Source organism: Homo sapiens, chromosome 15 (genome assembly GCF_000001405.40).
Source record: "Homo sapiens chromosome 15, GRCh38.p14 Primary Assembly".
Classification (NCBI taxonomy): domain Eukaryota; kingdom Metazoa; phylum Chordata; class Mammalia; order Primates; family Hominidae; genus Homo; species Homo sapiens.
The window spans coordinates 29,256,049-29,277,241 of NC_000015.10; the positions used below are offsets into that span (position 1 = coordinate 29,256,049).

Below are 21,193 nucleotides of genomic sequence, written 5' to 3' on the forward strand. Positions count from 1 at the left end.
GGATGTAGCTGGAGTCCATATTATATGAATTAACACAAACAAAACCAAATACTATATATTCTCACTTATAGGGTAGGAGCTAAACTTTGGGTACACACAGACACAAAGATGGGGACAACAGGCACTGAGGACTCCAACCGGAGGTTGGGGGGAAGAGCTGAAAAACCACCTATTGGGGTACTGTGCTCACTAACTGGGTGATGGGATTATGAGAAGCCTAAACTTCAGCACCATGCAACACACCCAGGTAACAAACCTGCACATGTACCTCCTGAATCTAAAATTTAAAATAAATATAGTCATACATAACAAAAAAACCGCAAACAAAACTATAAGGTTTTTATGTAACCATATTAATTTTACATCTGTATCTCCTTTCAACCATGCCAAAAACTATTTCTCAACATAATTAATCTGTTGGATTTAATTTCACAATATCCACACAACAGTCTCAAAATAACACCAATACAACTGCCGAAAAAAATGACTGAAAATAGTTTAACATTTATATTTCTTTTTATTCTTACATTACATTCTACCAGAAATAGTCAAATTATGGTGTTTTAAACTCACATGGTTCCTTTATATGTGGTTACGCTACTGATCAGGAACCCAGGTTCATTCCTTTTATTTCATTTTTTCTTGTTTAAGAATTGTTTCTAAAACTGAGTTTCATTTCTAATTACATAAAATGATTCCAAAGTCAGGTCCATAAATGAAGTTTCACATAAGTCTGGCATTTATTCTGTTCCTCCACTCTATTTCCTCCCATTTATTAATAGGCAAGCATTTATTTTTTAATTTTATATTTTATCCTCCCATCATTTTTTAGTAAAAGTATATAATAGTAGCATAATACACACATTTTCTTTACTTACTTTTTTTGCACTTAATATGGTGAAGATCACTCGAAATAAGAACACACAAATAACCCTATTCCCTTCTACAACTGCCTAATACTTCATGGCACAGATGAATCACAGTTTATTTTTTTATTATTTATTTATTTATTTATTTATTTATTTATTTATTTATTTATCTTGAGATGGAGTTTCACTCTTGTTGTGCAGGCTGGAGTGCAATGCAGCGATCTCGACTCACCGCAGTCTCCACCTCCCAGGTTCAAGCGATTCTCCTGCCTCAGCCTCTCAAGTAGCTGGGATTACAGGCATGCGCCACCACACCGGGGTAATTTTGTATTTTTAGTAGAGACGGGGTTTCTCCATGTTGGTCAGGCTGGTCTGGAACACCTGACCTCAGGTGGTCCACCCGCCTCGGCCTCCCAAAGTGCTGGGATTACAGGCGTGAGCCACCGCGCCAGGCCAAATCACAATTTATTAAGCCAGATCCCTACTGATGAACATTTGGGTTATTTTTAGTCCTTTGCTATTTATTATAAGTAGTGTTGCAACGAACTGCCTTGTTCATATATCTTTTTATAGGTTTCCCAGCATGGCTTTGGGATATATTCTTAGAAGTGGCATTGCTGGATCAACGGATAAATGTTTGTTTAATGTGCTAGACATTACCACATTCCTCATCATACGACTGGTACTATTTTTCATTCCCACTAACAATGTATGAGAAGGATAAGATCTTACTTTTTCTGTTAATACCTTAAAAATGTAAGCTAAATTAAATTTAGGAAAATAACTGGTATTACCATTCTCTACCGTAACTATAATGTATACCCCTCAGCTGTAGTTAAATTTATTTTCCTTAAAAATGTACATGGGAGACAGAATTCATAAGAGGATATTTTGTTCATTTAGGAACTATTTCAAGTTCATAATGTTAGCAGTATCTCAGCAATGGTTTTAATAACTGCAGAGTCTGACAGCATCCCTTGGGAAAGTTAGGTCACATAGAAAGGGCCAACTTTGCTGGGCGCGGTGGCTCACACCTGTAATCCCAGCACTTTGGGAGGCTGAGGCGGGTGAATCATGAGGTCAGGAGATCGAGACCATCCTGGCTAACACGGTGAAACCCCTGTCTCTACTAAAAATACAAAAAAATTAGCCGGGCGTGCTGGCACGCGCCTGTAATCCCAGCTACTCAGGAGGCTGAGGCAGAAGAATCGCTTGAACTCGGGAGATGGAGGTTGCAGGGAGCCGAGATTGCACCACTGCACTCTAGCCTGGGTGACAGAGCAAGGCTCAGTCTCAAAAAAAAAAAAAAAAAAAAAGAAAGAAAGAAAAAAGAAAGGGCCAACTTAAATTTTTCATATTAGAAGTTACGGCAGTCCCATATCATTCAAATGATATGTAAATAAACTGGCCTGCACAGCTTTGAAATTGAGGTCAAAAAATAGTTGCTGAAAACATCACGAAAGCAAACCTACACAGAAGCCAACAAGAGACTACCCTGAGACTTAGTAAGTGCTGAACAACACAGATGCTACGAAAGTCAAGGAGGTAAGAGACAATAAGATCTTTTTGCCTGTTTATTGTTTTTTTTTAATTGTGGTAAAATATCCATAATAAAAACGTACTTGCATTTTCTAATTTGTTTTTTAAACTGTGGTAAAATATTCATAACATGAAGTTTACCTTTATTCCCATTTTTATGTGTGCAGTTTAATGACATTAAGTATGTTCACACTGTTGTGGAATGATCATCACTATCCATTTCCAGAGAATGTTTTGTCTTCTCAAACTGAAACTCCATACCCATTAAACAATCATTCCTTATCCTCCCTCCTCCTAGCCCCTAGCAATCACCACCATTCTACTTTCTGTCCCTTGAAATTTGATTACTCTAGATATGTTACATACGGGAAATCATACAGTACTCTTCCTTTGGTGACTGGCTGATTTCACTTATAGCATAATGTCTTCAAGGTTCATCCATATTGTAGCATGTGTCAGAATTTCCTTCCTTTTCAAGGCTATTCGAATAATATTCCATTGTTCCAGAAATTGGTCCTGCCAATGAAACAACTTTTCTGAGTGGGCAAGAACTTTGAATCAACTATTTCATAACTCTGGAAGCTGGCTGAACACTTGTAGCATCCAGAGGGATAATCTGATAAAGAAAGAGGTTGGCATTCAAGGAAATCTCCATCAGGTCTTTGGCTGACCATGGATATAATGGAATAGAGACTTTAGTGATCACACACAATGAGGAATAAAATCTGCTCAAAATTAGTTTGGAAAAGTCACTAAAGAAATGGATGGCTACAGCTCTCAAAAAGCAGTTATCAGGCATCATTAAGGAGGGAAGATAATCTGATTTCAGAGTCACCACATTACAATATTCAAAATGTCCAATTCTCAAATATTTCCTTCTTGACCAATCTCTAGCACTTGAACAAAATATTAACATAGATTCTAACAGCTCAAGGCCACATCCCTAGGATGGCTCTAGCTCCCCCTAAAGTACCTGCCTGAGAAAATTCAAGGCTGCCAAAAGAGTTTACTGTTAGTTCCAGCCGACACTTGAAGACACCCTGTGTCCCAGCATCTGTGGGAGGGTAGGAGCCTAACTTTGATAAGCACTAGCTAACAATCCCAGATGGGTTTCACACAGGCCAATCCCTACTTTCCACTTTTGGTAATTTTTCACTTCCTTGACTTTACTAACCACCCCCTACACCCTGCTCACCCTCCCTCCTGATTCTTCATTCTTCCTTTAAAACACCTAGTGAAGCCTGGCACAGTGGCTCACACCTACAATCCCAGCACTTCAGGAGGCCAAGGCAGGCAGATCACTTGAGCCCAGGAGTTAGATACCAGCCTGAGCAACATGGTGAAATCCCATTTACATATATATATATATGAAGAAAAAAATGCAATTATTAAAAAATCAAAACAAAACAAAAGCCCAGAAACCTCTGTACAAATTGAAGTTGAGTTCAGTTAACACCGGGCTCTTTTCCATAGTGTAACAGTTTATTACTCATTAAAATCTGCCCTTTCCGTTTTAACTGGTGTCCAGCTTTGTGTATCTCTGGCAGAAACACATGAATTAACAAAAGTGATTCAAGACAAAATAGAAATTCTCAATATCTGTATAACAAGGAAGGAGACTGAATCAGGAATCAAAAATCCTCCCAACAAAGAAACGTCTGGGCCTATTTGGGGTCTCTGGTGAATACTCTCAAACATCTAAGGAATTAACACCAGTCTTATGCAAACTCTCTCAAAAACTGAAGGAGAGGGAGCACTTCCTAACTCATTTCATGAGGCAGGATTACCCTGGTACCGAAGTCAGACAAAGACACTACAAGAAAAGTAAACCATAGACTAACATCACTTATGAATATACACAGAAAATCCTCAATACATTTCAGAAGATTAAATCATACAAAGTACCTACTCTGACCAAAATAAAGTGAAGTTAAAAATCAGTAACAGAAAGAAAACTGGAAGGAAACAAAAGGAAATTGGATTCTACTCCGTGACCAAGTGGGATTTACTTCAGGAATGCAAGAAAGTCGATCAATGTAATACACAACATCAATACATTGAAGAAGAAAAAAAAGCACATCATCATCTCAACACAGAAAAACCATTTGACCCAATTTGAGAATTCTTATCTTTCAGAGACACGTGCCAAAATATTTACAGGTAAAATCATATATGGCATTTGTTTCTAAGTAATCTGGACTAGGGAGGAATACAAAGTAGTTGAACTGGGTGGGGATACAGACGAAATAAGATTATCCACATATTGAATCTTGTACCTCATCTTTCTACTTTCACGTTTGAAATTTTCTAAAATAAAAAATTTAAAAACAGATGAAAAGACATTTTAAGAGAATACTTTTAAAATAAGGCAGGAAGGAAACTGGAAATATGTTAATATAATACTAAAAAGCATTATTAGGAATAAAGAGAGTCTAAAAGCAACAATTCTCCAGGAGGAGATAATGATGCTAAACCTGTTTCGCCTTTACAAATACAGCCTGAAAATATATAAAATAAAAAACAAGACTTAACAAAATCATAATGAGAGATCTTTCCCATTGCTTAGAAATAGATTACGCAATAAAAATAGACTATATAATATTTGAACAACACAATTAACAAGCTTTAGGTAATAAACATACTGTGAACATATCAAAAACACGTACACAGCTGCTTGGGAGGCTAGCGGGGGAGGACTGCTTGTGGTAAGGAGCTCAAGACCAGCCTGAGATACATGGCAAGATCCCATCTCTAAAAAAATAGTTTTAAAAATTAGCTAGGCATGGTGGTGCTCGCCTGTAATCCCAGCTGATCAGGAGGCTGAGGAAGGAGGATCGCTTGAGCCCAAGAGTTGGAGGCTGCCGTGAGCTATGATTGTGCCACTGCATTCTAGCCTGGGCAACAAGCAAGATCCTATCTCTAAAAAGTTTTTTAAAAATTAGCCAGGCATGGTGGCGCTTGACTGTAGTCTGAGCTAATTAGGAGGCTGTAGCAGGAGGCTCACTTGAGCCTGCTTCTACTGCACTCTAGCCTGGGCAACAAGCAAACTTCTATCTCTAAAAAGGAAAAGACAAAAAGAAAACATACTGAATTCACTTCTTTTTTAAAGGACACTTGGAACATACCAAAAGCTAACCACATATTAGGCCAAAGACCATGTTAAAATATTTTAAAAACTGATTTTATACGCAACATTTTATCTCACTCAAAGCAATTTTTTAAAAAATCAAAGACCAACAACAAAAAGCATAGTTCAAATCCAAATATTGGAAAATTTAAAAAGATCACTCACTTGCAATTAGAATCAAAGACAAATCAAAACAGATATTAGGAAATATTTAGCATTGAATATAACAAAAATACATCTGAGAATTTATCAAATATGAGCAATATTGTAAAGATAAATATATTGCCTTAAATGAATTAGAAATGAAAATCAATTGACTAAGTATCTACTCCAGAAATAAAAAAAAAAAGAACCACTAAGTAAACCCAAGGAAAGTAAAAAGAAAGGAAACATAAAGTAATTAAATCAAAAAGGGAAACAATAAAAAAGATCAATACAACAAAAGTTTCTTGAAAATACTGATAAAATAAATAAACTCCCAGCACAAATGGCTCCAGAAAAAAAAAAAAAAAGGGCGAAGGCAAAAAATAATTCTGGGAGTACAAAAAGAAAGAGAATCTATAAGTAAAGATGCATGGTGTTATGATATATACATATTGGTTTCCTTCCATGGTTCCTGTTTCCTAACTCCCATAATCTTCGTTATACTGTTGGGGTTCTTTAGGCCTCAGGCAACAGAATCTCTCTCTCTGACCTTCTCCTGTCTTTCTTTCATCTGCCCCAGTCAGGCCTCTGATTGTGGGTCAAAAGACCCTCATTTCAGAAAAGAGTCCTGCCCCAAACCCTAGAGGAAGGAATGCTACACAGAGAGGCCAAGAAAACTCTGAGCAGACAGGCCTTGCTGGCTTTAGCTCGTGTGCGTTTTTGTCCAATCACATTTCTGCACAGTTGTCAATCATGCCTATGTAATGAAGCTTCCATAAAAACCCAAAAGGACAGGGTTCAGAGAGCTTCCAGACTGCTCAACATGCGGTGGTTCCGGTAGGGTGGCGTGCCCAGGGAAGGCATGGAAGCTCCACACACCTTCCCCATACCTTGCCCTATGCATCTCTTCATCTGTGTCTTTTGCAATACCCTTTATAATAAACCAGTAAACGTAAGTGTTTCCCTGAGTTGTGTGGACTGCTCTTGCAAATTATTTGAACCCAAAGAGGACATCATCAGAACCCCAACTTGAAGACCATTGGTCAAAAGTTCCAGAGGCCTGGACTTGTGACTAGTGTCCTGAGAGTGGGCAGTCTTGGGGACTAAGCCCTCATCCTGTGGGATCTGACACTATCTCCAGGTAGATAGTGTTGGAACTGAATTGGAGGACACCCAGCTGGTATCTGCTGCTTCCTCCGTAGGGGAAACCCCCTACACATTTGATCACAGAAGTCTTCTTCTGTGTTGATGATTGTTGTGGTGTGAGAGCAGAGGAAAAACGAAGTTTGAGAGTTTTTTCTCTAAAAAAGATGTAAAAGAATTATTTTTAAATCAAAGGACAATACTAAGAAATGCTTTCTACTAATTATATCAGAAAATATATGAAAACATCTTCTAGAAAATACAAGTGACCAAAACCAATTTCAAAAGAAGAGAAAACCTGAACATAATCTTGAGAAAAATATCAGTAAAAATCTACCCACAAAAAACACCAGGCCCACAGCCTTTCACATGTAGATTTGTTCCAAACTTTCGAAAACATCTAATCTTCTGATAACAGGGCAAAAGGCAAGCTTCCCAATGCATTTATAAGACCAAAAGGTTTTCTATTTCCTGAACAATTCAGTGCAATAGCTGTTAAGTGGGACAGAACAAGTTCCATGTCCTGGGAGAGGCCAAGGTCACCTGAGTGGGGTTAGAGCTCTAGCAATGGGTGGAGGGTGACTGCACAGAAAAGCCAGTTATGTGGGACATTGGAGCCCACGTGGGAAGCTAAGCGCACCCATGTGGATGGTGTGGCAGAGAGGATAGTGGATTGGTTATTTATAAGAGGAATTAATCAAATAAGTAAATATGGTAAAGATAATAGGTGCTAAGTTTCTCAAACCAGAATACACACAGCGGTGCTGTATTGCAAATGGCAGTATCAGTGTAATCTCATAGTCTTCAGTGCTGTGTAGATGACTGATAGATAAATATCCTATAACTTCATCACCTAGAGGGCTGGAAGCAATGATATTTCCCATAGGCATGAGCAAACCTAGCAACCTTGTTTCTGAATTCCATTCTCCACCAAAAGAAACCGGAGCTCTTTAGGAAAAGGATTAATTCCAGGCCTAGGGCAGGGAGAGTTAAAGTCTGAACTCCTGGGTGGGCGCGGTGGCTCACGCCTACAATCCCAGCACTTTGGGAGGCCGAAGTGGATCACGAGGTCAGGAGATTGAGACCATCCTGGCTAACACGGTGAAATCCCCGTCTCTACTAAAAACACAAAAAATTAGCTGGGCATGGTGGCGGGTGCCTGTAGTCCCAGCTACTCGGGAGGCTGAGGCAGGAGAATCGCTTGAACCCAGGAGGCGGAGATTGCAGTGAGCTGAGATTGCACCAATCCACTACAGCCTGGGCGACAGAGCGAGACTCCGTCTCAAAAAAAAAAAGAACTCCCTCTCTTTTTGTGCCAACAAGCAAGGAAATGCTCAATAAATGATGTTGGGGCATGTTAAAGATGCAAAAGCCAGCTTTAAGGGGCTCCCACTGGCCAAATCAGGGACAATTTGAGTATTGAAATATGTAATGATAATAAAAGATTAGATAATAAGTTAATGATAATAAGAGACCCATGGGTCTATACAAAGTCTCAAAGTGTCTCCACACAAGTTATTTGTTTACCTTAAAGGAGAAAACTCTGCAGTGGAGGCACATGACAGAAATCCACCTTAACCAAAGTGATCAAGGTTTCAAAATAACAGGACAAATTGAAATTTTGTGCCACCTGATAGGATCCAAAAATAACACAGCATTGCTTCTGTGATATTCTTCCCAAAGATGCATAATTCAAATCCAATCATGAAGAAACAGCAGACAAACCCCAGCTGAAGGATGTTCTACAGAAAACAGGCCCGTATTCTTCAAGTGAAGGTCATAATAGTCAAGGAAAGACTTAGGAACTACTGGCAATAGGAAGGAGACTAAAGAAACATAACTAAATAGTTCAGGGAACAAATTATTTTGCACTGGGCTTGCAACTTTTCTGTAAATTTGAGGTTATCTCTAAGTAAATTAGCATAACCTCAAAAATAATGATAATATAGGAAAATTAAAGACTAACCCCCCCTTATGTCAAAAGATGCAAAATTATACATTTTGAGCTATATGTATTTAAAAATTTTATCAACAACTGTTTGTCTCCAAAATGCAAGAATGTTTAGATATCAGAAAACTGTATGTTATTACACCAAATTATATGCCCCAAAAAACAAATTTACAGAGTAAATAAGACATTTTAATCATATTAGCAGGTAAATAAAGAGCATATATACATCCAAAGTCATTCATAGTTTTTTTTCTGAACATCTCTAAGCAAGCTAGGACTGAAGGGGTAACTAAATAGCCCAATAAAAGGTATTTATAGGGGAAAAAAACTCTTAACAGCAAACATCACACTCTATGGCAAAACTTAAAATTATTTCCTTTAAAATCAAGAATAAGGAATCAGAAACATCCTTAGAGCCTGCTGTAACTGCTTCTTTTCAATAATATATTGCATTTTCAGCCAATGCAAAAAAGACTAAAATAAAAGGCTTTAAGAATTGAAAAAGAAGACAGGCATATGATGCTAAAGAATTATAGGCTGGGCGAGGTGGCTCATGCCTGTAATCCTAGCACTTTAGGAGGCCGAGGCGGGCAGATTACCTAAAGTCAGGAGTTTGAGACCACCCTGGCCAACATGGCAAAACCCCGTCTCTACTAAAAGTACAAAAATTAGCCGGACGTGGTGGCGGGCACCTGTAATCCCAGCTACTCAGGAGGCTGAGGCAGGAGAATCGCTTGAATCCAGGAGGCAGAGATTGCACTGAGCCAAGATTGTGCCAATGCACTCCAGCCTGGGCGACAAGAGCAAGACTCCGTCTCAAAAAGAAAAAAAGAATTACAGTATGGTATTTGCAAATGGATAGCAAATAAACCAATTCAGTCCTAGCCATAAATTTATCTATACATGGGACATTGCTACAAAATACTGAGTGTCATAAATCAGTGTGGAAAGTATAAATGATGAAAAACTGGTGCTAGGCTATCCATATAGGAAAAATACAAAAACTATTTCCATACCTCACATCATACACAAAAGCAGATTAAAAGCATAAAATGTGAAGATCAAAACTTTGAACACTTAGGGAAAAAAGGCAGAAAACATATTTACAATTTTAGGATTAGGGGAATTTTTTAAAGCACTATACACAAATGTAGCTCTTATAAACACTAATGATCGTAACACATTTAGGTCAAATGATCTGTATGACCAAAAGAAGTGAAAATGTGGGAGAAGGTATTTGCACTAGATAGATAGAGCAGACCATGGATTAACATGTAGAACATATAAAGATGTCTTACAAATCAATAGAAATAGGTCTAAGACATGAAATCTGACACTCAAAAAGGAGTGAGAGCAAAAGATAGGCAGATACTTAACATTACTAGTAAGCAACAGGTATAAGTTAATACCGTAATAAATTATCATTTCACACTGTACCAGAATGGCTGAAAAGATACTGAAAAGGCCAAGTGTTCACAGGGGGTGAAGGTGGAGGGATTGGTAAACAAAAACAAAACAAAACTGTATAAAATGTTGATGGGAGTGTAACTTGACACAAGCTCAAGAGCAGCTTGGCAATAGTCCTTGATTGCTCCATTTGTTTCTGGCTGGAGAAACTCACACATGTGCCTAAAGAAGTACTGTACAATGCCTGCAAATCTCAAAGAACTGGAAAGACCTTAAATGTCCAGACATTAAGGAATGGATAGTTATTTTTCCCCCATAAAAGAACAATTAAAATGAGTGAATCAGGTCTACATATATCCACATGGCTGAATCTCAAATACATAATGGTGAGTGAGTACAGCAAGTTGCATAAGGACACACGTAACACCGCTTATATAAATCATGAAAGCCCACAAAATAAAACTCTATATTGGTTATGTATATATACATGTATAGTAAAATTATAAAGTCATACAACAGCCCGATAGCCACAGACTTTTGTTACCTCTGGGGAGGGTGAGAAGGAAAAGATATAAGGCCTTGATGTGGCCTCTGATGTTTCATATTTTAAAATTTGAAACAAGATTATCGATGGTAAATTGCTAACACCTCTGAGAAAAGCGGGGGGAATTTTGCCTCAGATATAACTGGTGGTGACTGCTGGGTAATAATTTTTATTATACAGGTGAGAATGCGAGTATCAGAGGGCATGAGGAGGAGAAAGCTGAGTCAGGGAGGTAAGGGGACCAGGAGGCAGGAAGGAGTTTATACACTGAAATAAAATGCAGATCAAGAAGAAATGCCTGTAAGGGCCAAACATATTCCACTGATGAAACAAATGCAAATCCCAATTCAACAGAATGAAATAAAACCCAGTAACCTATCACATTCCTCCATACTCACTATAGACTCTTTTAAATGACATTCCGTCCAGTGTTGATGAAGTTCACTTTTTTCCCCGAGTTAAAAATATTTGCCTTATTTCAAGGTTAATTTGCAGCACCTCCCCCTAAAACAATTAACTTATTTGCCCACTGAATAAAACGTGTTGAATCTCTGCATTAAAAACAGCATCTGCTACACGTAATGGAGGAACACAATGGGACTATGAACTCTTCTAGTTCATTTAGTGCATAAAACTATTATATAGCTATTATTTTTCTCATTTTACAGATAAATTGAGATTCAGAGAGCTTAAAACCTACCCCCACAACCACCATGCTGACAAGTTAGCATGAGCCGTAATTCAAATTCAGTTTGCCAGACAGCCCCAAGACCCATACCCTTTTCCCTATACCTAACTCCCTAGGAGGTAGATCTTATGTCCTGCTCTTATGTTCTATGTGGGGCACACTCACCATACACGTTATATTTCCCCATACAATAGAGTGAGACTAGAGGACTATCTTTTGAACCAGGAATTGCTCTCCTAGGAATGATTTGGAAAAAAAGATAAAGAAAAGTTATATTTAAAAAGTGGCAGCTCCAGACCAAGGAGAATAAAAAATAAAAACATTAAAGAATAACAAATAAAATTCTCCACATCACGGACTAAAACCATTTTACAGGTCAAGAAACATCTGCATACAAACTAAGGAACCTATGTAAATTCATATACTAGTTATGGTGGGGCCAGGATCTCAACCCAGACAGTCCGATTCCCAAACAGGCATGGTTAATGGTTACGCTATTGTTTTATAAGCCTTTTTGAGATCCACAGTGAGAAATATATTTCACCTCATGATCCTGATTTTGTTTCACACAAAAGTGAAACAACTTCTACAAAACAGCATTGACCTTAATATGTAGCAAAAACTTTAAGATGTTGATTTCCAGTCATGAAATTCTCTCATGACCCACGATTTAAAAAACACACAATGCTTAAGTGCTTCAAAAATACAGTATTTATTGTAATAACTACAGTAGCAAGAAGAAAAAAACGAAGTGGAACTACGTGTTTAGCAGCAGAGCTGAATAATTATGAATATAAACAATTACTATTGGGAGAAAATACATTACACTCATTGCTTGGAACCATGAATAATACTTATATATGTACGAAATATAGAAAAATAAAATAGGTTAACATAATAAGGATATAGGCAATTATTTTTTTTAATTTTATAAAAACTTTTATTTTTCCTTACAAACTGGGGTAGTTAGGAGACCTGATAATAGCTTTTTTATTTTCTTGGCACCAAAGCAACTTACTTATGTGTTCCTTCTTGCATTATCTGTTCCAGATCATAGTCAAGTTTTCCAATTCGTTTTACTAAGCTAGCAAAATTTTTTATACCAAAAAGAGTAAAATCAAAACAAATGCTCCTTTGTTTATAGATGAAAATCTGGAGCAAAATAACACAACATTAAAAAAACAAAACTTTGCAAACACATCCTAAAGCTACACACATTGAAGCGTTTACAGCAATATGCTCCCTGGGTTCGTTCTCCCTTCCCCCAATCCTCTAAACTGTGCCTTTGGGTCTCAGACCCTTGTCCCGGGGGTCCCTCTGAATCCACCTTTCAAGAGGATGGAGCTGGGCCACTAGGCTGAGGTCTGGCCCTGTTCTCCTCATCTGCCAAAGCCTCACAGTACTGCGCTGGCCAGTCCTTGGGGTCTTGATTATGGACCTTGGCCACAAACTTAAGAACTTTCATCTTGCTGGTTTCCAGGTTGGTTCGCGGGCCCCACTGGAATTCGTAGTCGACGGGGTCGGTGTGGGGTATCCGCCGGTATTCCAGGTAACGCTGTCGCACAAAGTCCTCAGTAATGAGTTTCTTTGGATCTCCGAAAATTAAATGCTTCTTGGTGGGGTAGACCCCTAAGCGCCGCAGAAAGTCCCAGGCTTCAGTTTCCTTGATGGTGTTGCCCTTCATAAAGATGAGCCCTAAGACGATCATCAGGAGGCCCGTAGTGGGCGTGCCTTGGTCACCCCTCATCTCGGCATCCTCCTCCACAGGCTCCAGGGTGTTGATGAGGATGTAAGTGTTGCTCTTGGGTTCAAGTTCCACCAGCTTATACCCGAAGACGTACTGGAGGCGCTCGGCGGCCCGTTTGAAGAGGTCGGGGAAGATGTCCTTGTAGTCCCCGATGACGTGCTTCAGTATGTCGGCCCGCTTGATCGGAATCTTCTTCTGGTCTTTAATCAGCAAGAACTGCACCAGCTCGGACACTTTCAGCTCCAGCTGCTTCTGGCTCCTGGGCCCCACGGCGGGGGCGGCCTGGGCCCGGCGGGCGCCCTGAGGCGAGGGGCCCTGCGACCCCTGCGAGCCGCCCGGCCCGCGGGACGTGCTCGGGGCCTCCTCGGCAAAGCCGTCTCTGAGAACCCGGGCGTCTTCCCCGGCCCGCGAAGCCCCGGGGTTTCCGCTATGGCTCCAGTCTCTGTCCCTCTCGGCCTGGCCGCCAGAGCGGCCCCGGTTCCTCGGTTTTTGCAACATGTCTCCGGCGGCAGGTGCCGGCGCACACTCCGGTAGGCAAGCAGCCGCGGCGGGGATTGCGGGTCGGCGACCCGCTAACGCCGGTGCCTGGAGGCGCGCGCAGTGTCGGCTGAGACTGCGTGCTGCGTCATGAAGCCTGCGCCTTGCGTCAGGGCGGCTGGGCGGTGCGCCTGCGCGGCTGCGGCGGGTACCAAAAGGAACAGCGTTTTCCGTGCAGCCCTGCAGGTCCGGGCGATGATTTTTAGTATAGTGAAGTGTTGTTACCAAACCATGCAAACAGAGAGCGAGAACCGAAACTCCTAAACAAGTGTGTCGCTAAATTCAGACCACACAGGCTCAGGCAAGTTTTACAGACAGTATTATGAGTTTCTAAATCGGGAGCATTTGTAAACGGAAAGAATTCAGAGGATGAACGTGTGAGAAAAAAAAAAGGTGAAGAGGAAGGGCCGACCGTGGAAGTAAAGTAAAAACATTTATTTCTACACAAAATGTAGAAGGACATAAAAGACCCAGAGGGCTCTTAGTTTTCGTCCCTCCACCCAATTTCATACCCTCCATCCCACTGCCCCCAGTTACTTTCTCTAATGCCCCGTGGAGTCTGTTAAAAACCAAAGTCGGCTGCAGGCTTTCTGCGCAAGCAGGACTTCAGTTTCACTATTTCCGTATTTATATTCTCTGCATTAAACTCCTTTAGCTAGACAACTATGAGAAGACCACAAAAAACGTGTCAGTATTAGGTAAATGTTTTAGCTTGGTCACATGGGTTTATCTTTTGGAAAACAACTGCTTTCGTCACAACCACAATTTTAGCAGAAATGGGTAAGAGGAATGCTGCAAACAAACGTGCACTCTCAAGAGATTACTACTTAATTTGGGGCATCACTGATCAAGAATTGCAATAATGTGGAGCTCTTAAATTTCTTAATTCATAATATATTAGCTTTGAGGAAAAAAAAGAGAACACTGGGGGATTTATCTCTCATCTATGATGTGATATACAGTCTCTACTGTATATTTTAATTGTGCAACTCAAGTAGCCAAAATGAGTCATTTCATTAACTCAAACCATCAGCAGTCTGCTGCCATGACTTCTACAGATCTTAGCAAATTTGTTTCTTCTCTATTTACTTGCAAAGAAGAAACTGAATTTCCCTGTGTCTTTTTAAAGCTACCCAGAAAGTGGATAAACTCTTCAAAGAACCAAATTGAGTTCCTCTTTAATGCAAATATATTCAAAGGAAAGCAATTTAGAACACATTATCTGAGTAATAGCATCAAACACAACCTTATTAAAATTTTGTTAATTGTTAGTAGCATAACACTTTTGTTTGTAATTCAGTAGGAAAATGCAATCTGATAATGGCACTGGAACTGCAATAGTAAATGTAAAATCATATTCCATGAACTAATGCAAGTATGCTAAAATCTGGTATGCAATGAGTAATAACTTACTGTTCCACACAAGATGCAACTATATCCTCAGGCATCAATTTTAATGACAAAGGCCTACTATGAAAAACAAATATATTATCAAGGCATTCATTTTTTTACAATGAGAAAATTCATCTGCTTCAGTTTCCTTGCAAATTAAAATCTGGACTTAGGTTCATAGAAGCTTCCTGCCATCTAGAATTCTGCAAAAGGTCCCTACTGCAGGATGTGGATGTTGTATTGAGGGAATAGAGAGACCGTCTCATATTGTTTTATATTGTTTTATACTCAGTACCTGTTTTAAGAAAAAACAACAAGGAAGTAAAACCAAATACAGGCAGCCCAGCGCCAGGCCCAAAACCAGGCCTGGGCCTGCCTGGCCTAAACCCAGTAGTTAAAAATCAACTCATAACTTAGAAACCGATGTTATTCATAGATTCCAGACATTGTATAGAAGAACATTGTATAAAGAACAGAACTGCCCTGTTCTGTTTCTCTCTGACCACCGGTGCATGTAGCCCCTGTCACATACCGCCTGCTTGCTCTGATCAATCACGACCCTTTCATGTAAAATCTTTAGTGTTGTGAGCTCTTTAAAGGGACAGAAATTGTGCATTTGGGGAGCTCGGATTTTAAGGCAGTAGCTTGCCGATGCTCCCAGCTGAATAAAGCCCTTCCTTGTGCAACTCGGTGTCTGAGAGATTTTGTCTGCGGCTCGTCCTGCTACAGTGCCTTGAGTCAAAAAAGTTCAGTGACCGAGATATAAGGGGAAAGTGGAAAATTAGATAAAAGCTATTGTCAACAGTTGGGCTGGTTTTTCAGTGCTCTTTCTTGCTAAGGTATTCATGTACGTTACCAAGCAGCCCACCAGTCAGACTACCCCTGTCACTGTGAAAATCAGCAGTGTCCTCCAGCAGCACGCTTACCTAGATAGCAGACTGTCATTACTCAAGATAGAGGAGAAGAGATACCAGTTTTTAAGTCTCAAAACATCTCTCTACACTCTTTCCAGAAGAATGCAGGTGAGAAAATGCAGACATAAAATAAGAGTATTAGAATGAAGTTTTAGGCCCTGCATGGAGAAGTCATCCAGACCCACATTCCACCTTGGATTGATACTGGAAGCCATGGATGTCTGGGGAGAAACTGTGGTGATAACAATACTAACATTAGTAACAATAAATATAACCGACAACAGCCAATGATTATAGTAGTTGCTGCTCCATCTCCATGTCTGCAGTTTTACTTTCTGTGGTTTCAGTTACCTGCAGTCAACCACAGTCCGAAAATATTAGGATATTTTCAAAGAGAAACCACAATATAACTTATTACACTATATTTGTTCTACTTTATTGTTAGTGTCAACTGAAGGATGACGAGGTTCATAAATTTGGAAAGAGCTTTATTTCTCATAAAGGGTTGCAGTCTGCGGGGCGGCCATTCCAACAGGCTAGGAAGACAACCTCATGCTAGAAGCCAGAAACAGACACTTCAAGGGAGGGCAAAGGGAGCAGGAATCTATGCAGAATGGGGTGGCCAAATATACATATTTAATAAGCTATAGGAGGAGTCATGAACATTTATGCAAGGAGAAATGTGCATATGCGCAATTGCACTTCATGTCTCTCCCTGGGACCCATATTCCAAAATTGGCAGTGTTAGCATGATCCAGGGTAGGAGTTTTCAGCCCTCTGACATCAAAAGGTGAAGTAGAGGACATGAAAACCCTGACTGCATGTCTTCCATAGACTGGCCAGAACTACTCCATGGTTGGTGGTCTTTTACCAGGAAGAACTGCTGGTCAATTGTGCCAAAACTGCAAAAGGGAGGGGCAGCATCAGGTGGTTGGTTTATACCAGCAGTGGAGTCTTTTGAAAGGGCTGATTTCTGTTTAGCTCTTAGGGAAGAAAGCCTAATGGCATTTAGAGCGGGTGAGGGTTTCCAAGGTTATTCGGGGTCCCCTTGGCCAAGAGGGGGTCTGTTCAGTCAGCTGGAGGGCTTAAGATTTCATTTTTCTCATCAATTATTGTTAATCTCTATTATGACTAATTTATAAATTAAACTTTTTTTTTTTTTTTTTGAGATGGAGTTGCGCTCTGTCGCCCAGGCTGGAGTGCAGTGTCACGATCTTGGCTCACTGCAACCTCCGCCTCCTGGGTTCAAGAGATCCTCACATCTCAGCCTCCCGAGTAGCTAGGATTACAGGTGTGTACCACCACGTCTGGCTTTTTTTGTATTTTTAATAGAGATGGGGTTTCACCATGTTAGCCAGGCTGGTCTCGAACTCCTGACCTCAAGTGATCCATCCACCTCAGCCTCCCAAAGTGTTAGGATTACAGGTGTGAGCCACCGCTCCTGGCGTAAATTAAATTTTATCATAGGTTCGTGTGATGATTAATGTGGAGTGTCAACTTGATTGAAGGAAGCAAAGTATTGTTCCTGGGTGTGTCAGTGAGGGTGTTGCCAAAGGAGATTAACATTTCAGTAAGTGGACTAGGAGAGGCAGACCCACGTTCAATCTGGGTGGGCACCATCTAATCAGCTGCCAGTGCGGCTAGAATAAAAGCAGGCAGAAGAACGTGGAAGGACTTGACTTGCTGAGTCTTCTGGTCTTCATCTTTCTCTCATGCTGGATGCCTCCTTCCCTTGAAAGTCAGACTCCAAGTTCTTCAGCTTTTGGATTCTTGGACTTACACTAGTGGTTTGCCAGGGGTTCAAGGGTCTTCAGCCACAGACTGAAGGCTGCACTATTGGATTCCCTACTTTTGAGGTTTTGGAACTCAGACTGGCTTCCTTGCTCCTCAGCTTGCAGATGGCCTATTGTGGGGCTTCACCTTGTGATCATGTGAGTCAATACTCTAGTAAACTCCCTTTCATATATACATCTATTCTATTAATTCTGTCCCTCTAGAGAACCCTGACTAATACAGTATGTATCTATGCATAGGGAAAAACATTGTGGATTTAGGGTTTGGTGCTGTCCACGATTTCAGGTATCCACTGAGGGTCTTGGAACACATCCTCCACAGACAAGGGGGGACTACTATACAAAGTGAATGGTGGGTCAGACCTTATTCCAGGTGGTTTACAGGTATGACTTCATTTAATCCCCACAACAAACCTATCAGGCATGTGCATTTATTATGTTTCTCTTCTCACAAATAAACTGTCACAGGAGAAGATTATTAAGTTTTGAGGCTCTATAGCGAGTAAGTGGTAGGTGTGAGATCTGAACACAGCCAATCTGCCTCCAGAGAGTGGGCTTTTAACTGTATACTGATTCAGAGCAAACATAGACATGGTGTCCTTGAAAAAGTAAGGGCTTTGGGATCAGATGAACTAACATTAGAAACCTGTACGATACTGACACTCCTCCCGGTTTAAGTCTCCAAGTCAACAAAATGAGGCCTAAACCTGGCATCAGGGGATTAAGTGAGATAGGTTTACCCAGTACCTAGCACAGTGCCTGGCAGGGTAGTTTGATAACAATTTGCTTCTTTCCAGGGATTTCTGTTAAGGAAAATATTTGAGGACTACACAAAGTTGTATATACTGCAGGGGAGGCAAAACCTTCCCTCCACCCTCGAAGGGCCCCAGCTGGACCTGAGACTTAAACTAATATAAAATAGATTAACAGGAGAAAAGCATTCAAACTTCATTTAAGTTTTACAGGACACAGGAGCGCTTGTTAGGGAAATGAAGACCGAAAGAGGTGGCAAAACCTAAATGCTTTTATATTTGGTTGAACAAAGAGAGGTAATTGTGGGAAAAGTAAATTATGTGGGGAGGATAAAGGGAGATAATTATTTTAACGAAGTTGTTTGTACAGAATTCACTTGGCTTTGAATCCCCATTGAGTAATGTTTCTTTCCTCTTGGTACAGTAAAGCTATTTTTCACATGGGAGTTTTTATCTCCTGTTTTCAGGAAGAAAAGAGGAAATTCAAATGCCCTTCTTGCATCTGCTATTTTTCAAGTGCCTTTAGCTCAAAGTAATCCTTATGCCAAAGTGGCATATTTTGGGCGGGCAGCATATTCTGCCATCCTTCAGTAGAACGATGAGAAAGATGTTCACTGCAGCAAAACACATGTACACAAGAATCAAAAGGGCTGGAAAGAAATATATATATCAAGGTACTATTAAAGTTAATTTGCTTTTAAAAATAAAAATCAACCCTGATTTTCTTGCTTGGGAGATGAATAAAAAATATATTTTCAATGAAGTTTAACTTCAAAGTGACACTATGCCATAGCAGCTATGCACATTCACATGTTCAATACATTCAGTGTGATTCGAATATGGCATTTGTGACTTTCTGTTCAGGCAGTGAAGTCACAAAGACAAGTGGTTAAAAAAGAAAAACATTTTCAAACACTTTATGTTAATGACCTTCATGCTTTAATTACTAGACCCAAAAGAAAAAATCAAAAGTCTTTGAGGCAAAAGCTAAGCTAGCTAAGATTTCAAGTGCAAAGAACAAGGAAATGCCTACTACAAATTGCTCTTTAGATGTTTATAGTAATTAAATGTTTTATTTTGTCTTTTCGATAGCAAATGCCTGCCAAGAAACTCTAATCATCTTTATTATCTACTAGATTCTCCTCTTCATTCATGGTATTTCTTGTGAATCAGAAAAAGGCTTTAATTTTTCTGACAGCAACACAGTGCTAAAAGCAGGTGAGGACTTCTTAGGAAGAAAGGCAATGATCAAAGCATGCAGCCACCACATATGAGCTGTTCTCTGCCTTTTCCAGTGGAAGAAAGTGGGCCAATGTGCAGCATGTGAGCAAGGGAGTTGGGAGGCAAATACTATTTTGGTGGGTAGACAGCAGGAAAAGCAATCCAGACATCTTAATGGTTGCAATAAAGTCCCTTGTGTCCACACATTTACAACAGTTATATATATTCATTCATAGCAAAGATCCCTCCTGCCTAGGTCACATGGTAGACTACCTAATAACACTTTGTCCCTCATAAATGAATATTTTGATGAAGCAGCAACAGAGTTTTCCTTGGCTGGTGGAAGCGGGTGGAGAGGTGAGCCTTGACAAGATAGTGCTTTCCAAGCATTGCAGCCATTTGGCCCAGAAGCCTGGTCTTAGACTCTCTTTTCAAGAAATGCATCTTCCAGTTATCCAGGGCCCTTTACTTATGAAAATCATTAGGGCCTATTAAGTTATAAAATTACAAACATCCAAGGTCTTGATAGTGGTCACTAAGATTCTCTTCGTTTGCTTGGTTTCTAATCCCTTTGTTCTGTATCCTTTCCCTTTAGAAACAGCCTCTTCCCACCTTTAAAAGACCTTAGTATAGGGCTGCCTTCCTTTCCTGAGTGCACAGGATTCAGGCCAGACACAGTGACTGGTTCAGAAGTTCAGTCAGCATCCTTCCAGGACATTCAGACAGATTCTCGCCCCTCTGAGCTCACAAGCTGAGGGGTGATGTAAGCCTAGCCACTTGTGCCCTTGCTTCTGAAAAACCTGCCTCAGGGCGAAGCCAACTCAAAAGAGATCTAAGAGATGGGAAACAATCTTAATGCTGCCATTTGAATCCCTGGATGCTGAGTTCAAGATCAGACTCCTGGAGATAATGAATTACTAAAGCATCTCCTTTTGCTTAATCTGCTTTGAGTTGGTTCCTGTCACTTGAAAGTGAACAAGGTCTGGCTAAATCAGTAGCCAATCCTATTATTCAGGGGAAAAAAGGGTAGTAAGAAATGAGACTTTGGAGCTAGGGAAGGTTAAAACCAATGAGGAGTTTTGAATATAATGAGAGGTGAATTGAAAACAATATGACATTTTTGTTATGTTTCTTCCCAGTGTTCTGTGGTTGGGGAATGTGCTCATCATTTTAGTTGGTGGCAACAGGGGTAAGGGAGAGACAAATTATGAAGAACTGTACTTTTCCATATGGAAAGTATATATGGGCCAGGCACAGTGGCTCAGGCCTGTAATCCTAGTACTTTGGGAGGCCGGGGCAGGCAGATCACTTGAGGTCAGGAGTTCCAGACCAGCCTGGCCAACATGGCGGAACCCCATCTCTACTAAAAATACAAAAATTAGCCAGGCCTGGTGGCGGGTGCCTGTAGTCCCAGCTACTCGGGAG

The 21,193-nt window shown here is 40.2% G+C and overlaps 2 protein-coding genes across 8 annotated transcripts in view, besides 2 other annotated features; both read right to left on the reverse strand.

The window, feature by feature from the left end:
* ENTREP2 (endosomal transmembrane epsin interactor 2) overlaps positions 1 to 21,193 on the reverse strand; it is a 557,698-nt gene that overhangs the window by 138,337 nt on the left and 398,168 nt on the right. The gene's annotated exons all lie outside the window — the stretch shown is intronic.
* Positions 8,941 to 13,774, reverse strand: NSMCE3 (NSE3 component of SMC5/6 complex). Its single transcript, NM_138704.4, has one exon. It carries the CDS (start codon positions 13,655 to 13,657, stop codon positions 12,743 to 12,745), a length of 915 nt encoding a protein of 304 aa, NP_619649.1. The 5' UTR covers positions 13,658 to 13,774; the 3' UTR covers positions 8,941 to 12,742.
* Positions 13,069 to 13,570: an enhancer, noted in NCBI's record as "H3K27ac hESC enhancer chr15:29561321-29561822 (GRCh37/hg19 assembly coordinates)". NCBI's record gives its function as "activates a minimal SCP1, AML or CMV promoter by ChIP-STARR-seq in primed H9 embryonic stem cells {active_cell/tissue: H9 hESC(primed)}" and the evidence as "EXISTENCE:reporter gene assay evidence [ECO:0000049][PMID:30033119]".
* Positions 13,571 to 14,070: an enhancer, noted in NCBI's record as "H3K27ac hESC enhancer chr15:29561823-29562322 (GRCh37/hg19 assembly coordinates)". NCBI's record gives its function as "activates a minimal SCP1, AML or CMV promoter by ChIP-STARR-seq in primed H9 embryonic stem cells {active_cell/tissue: H9 hESC(primed)}" and the evidence as "EXISTENCE:reporter gene assay evidence [ECO:0000049][PMID:30033119]".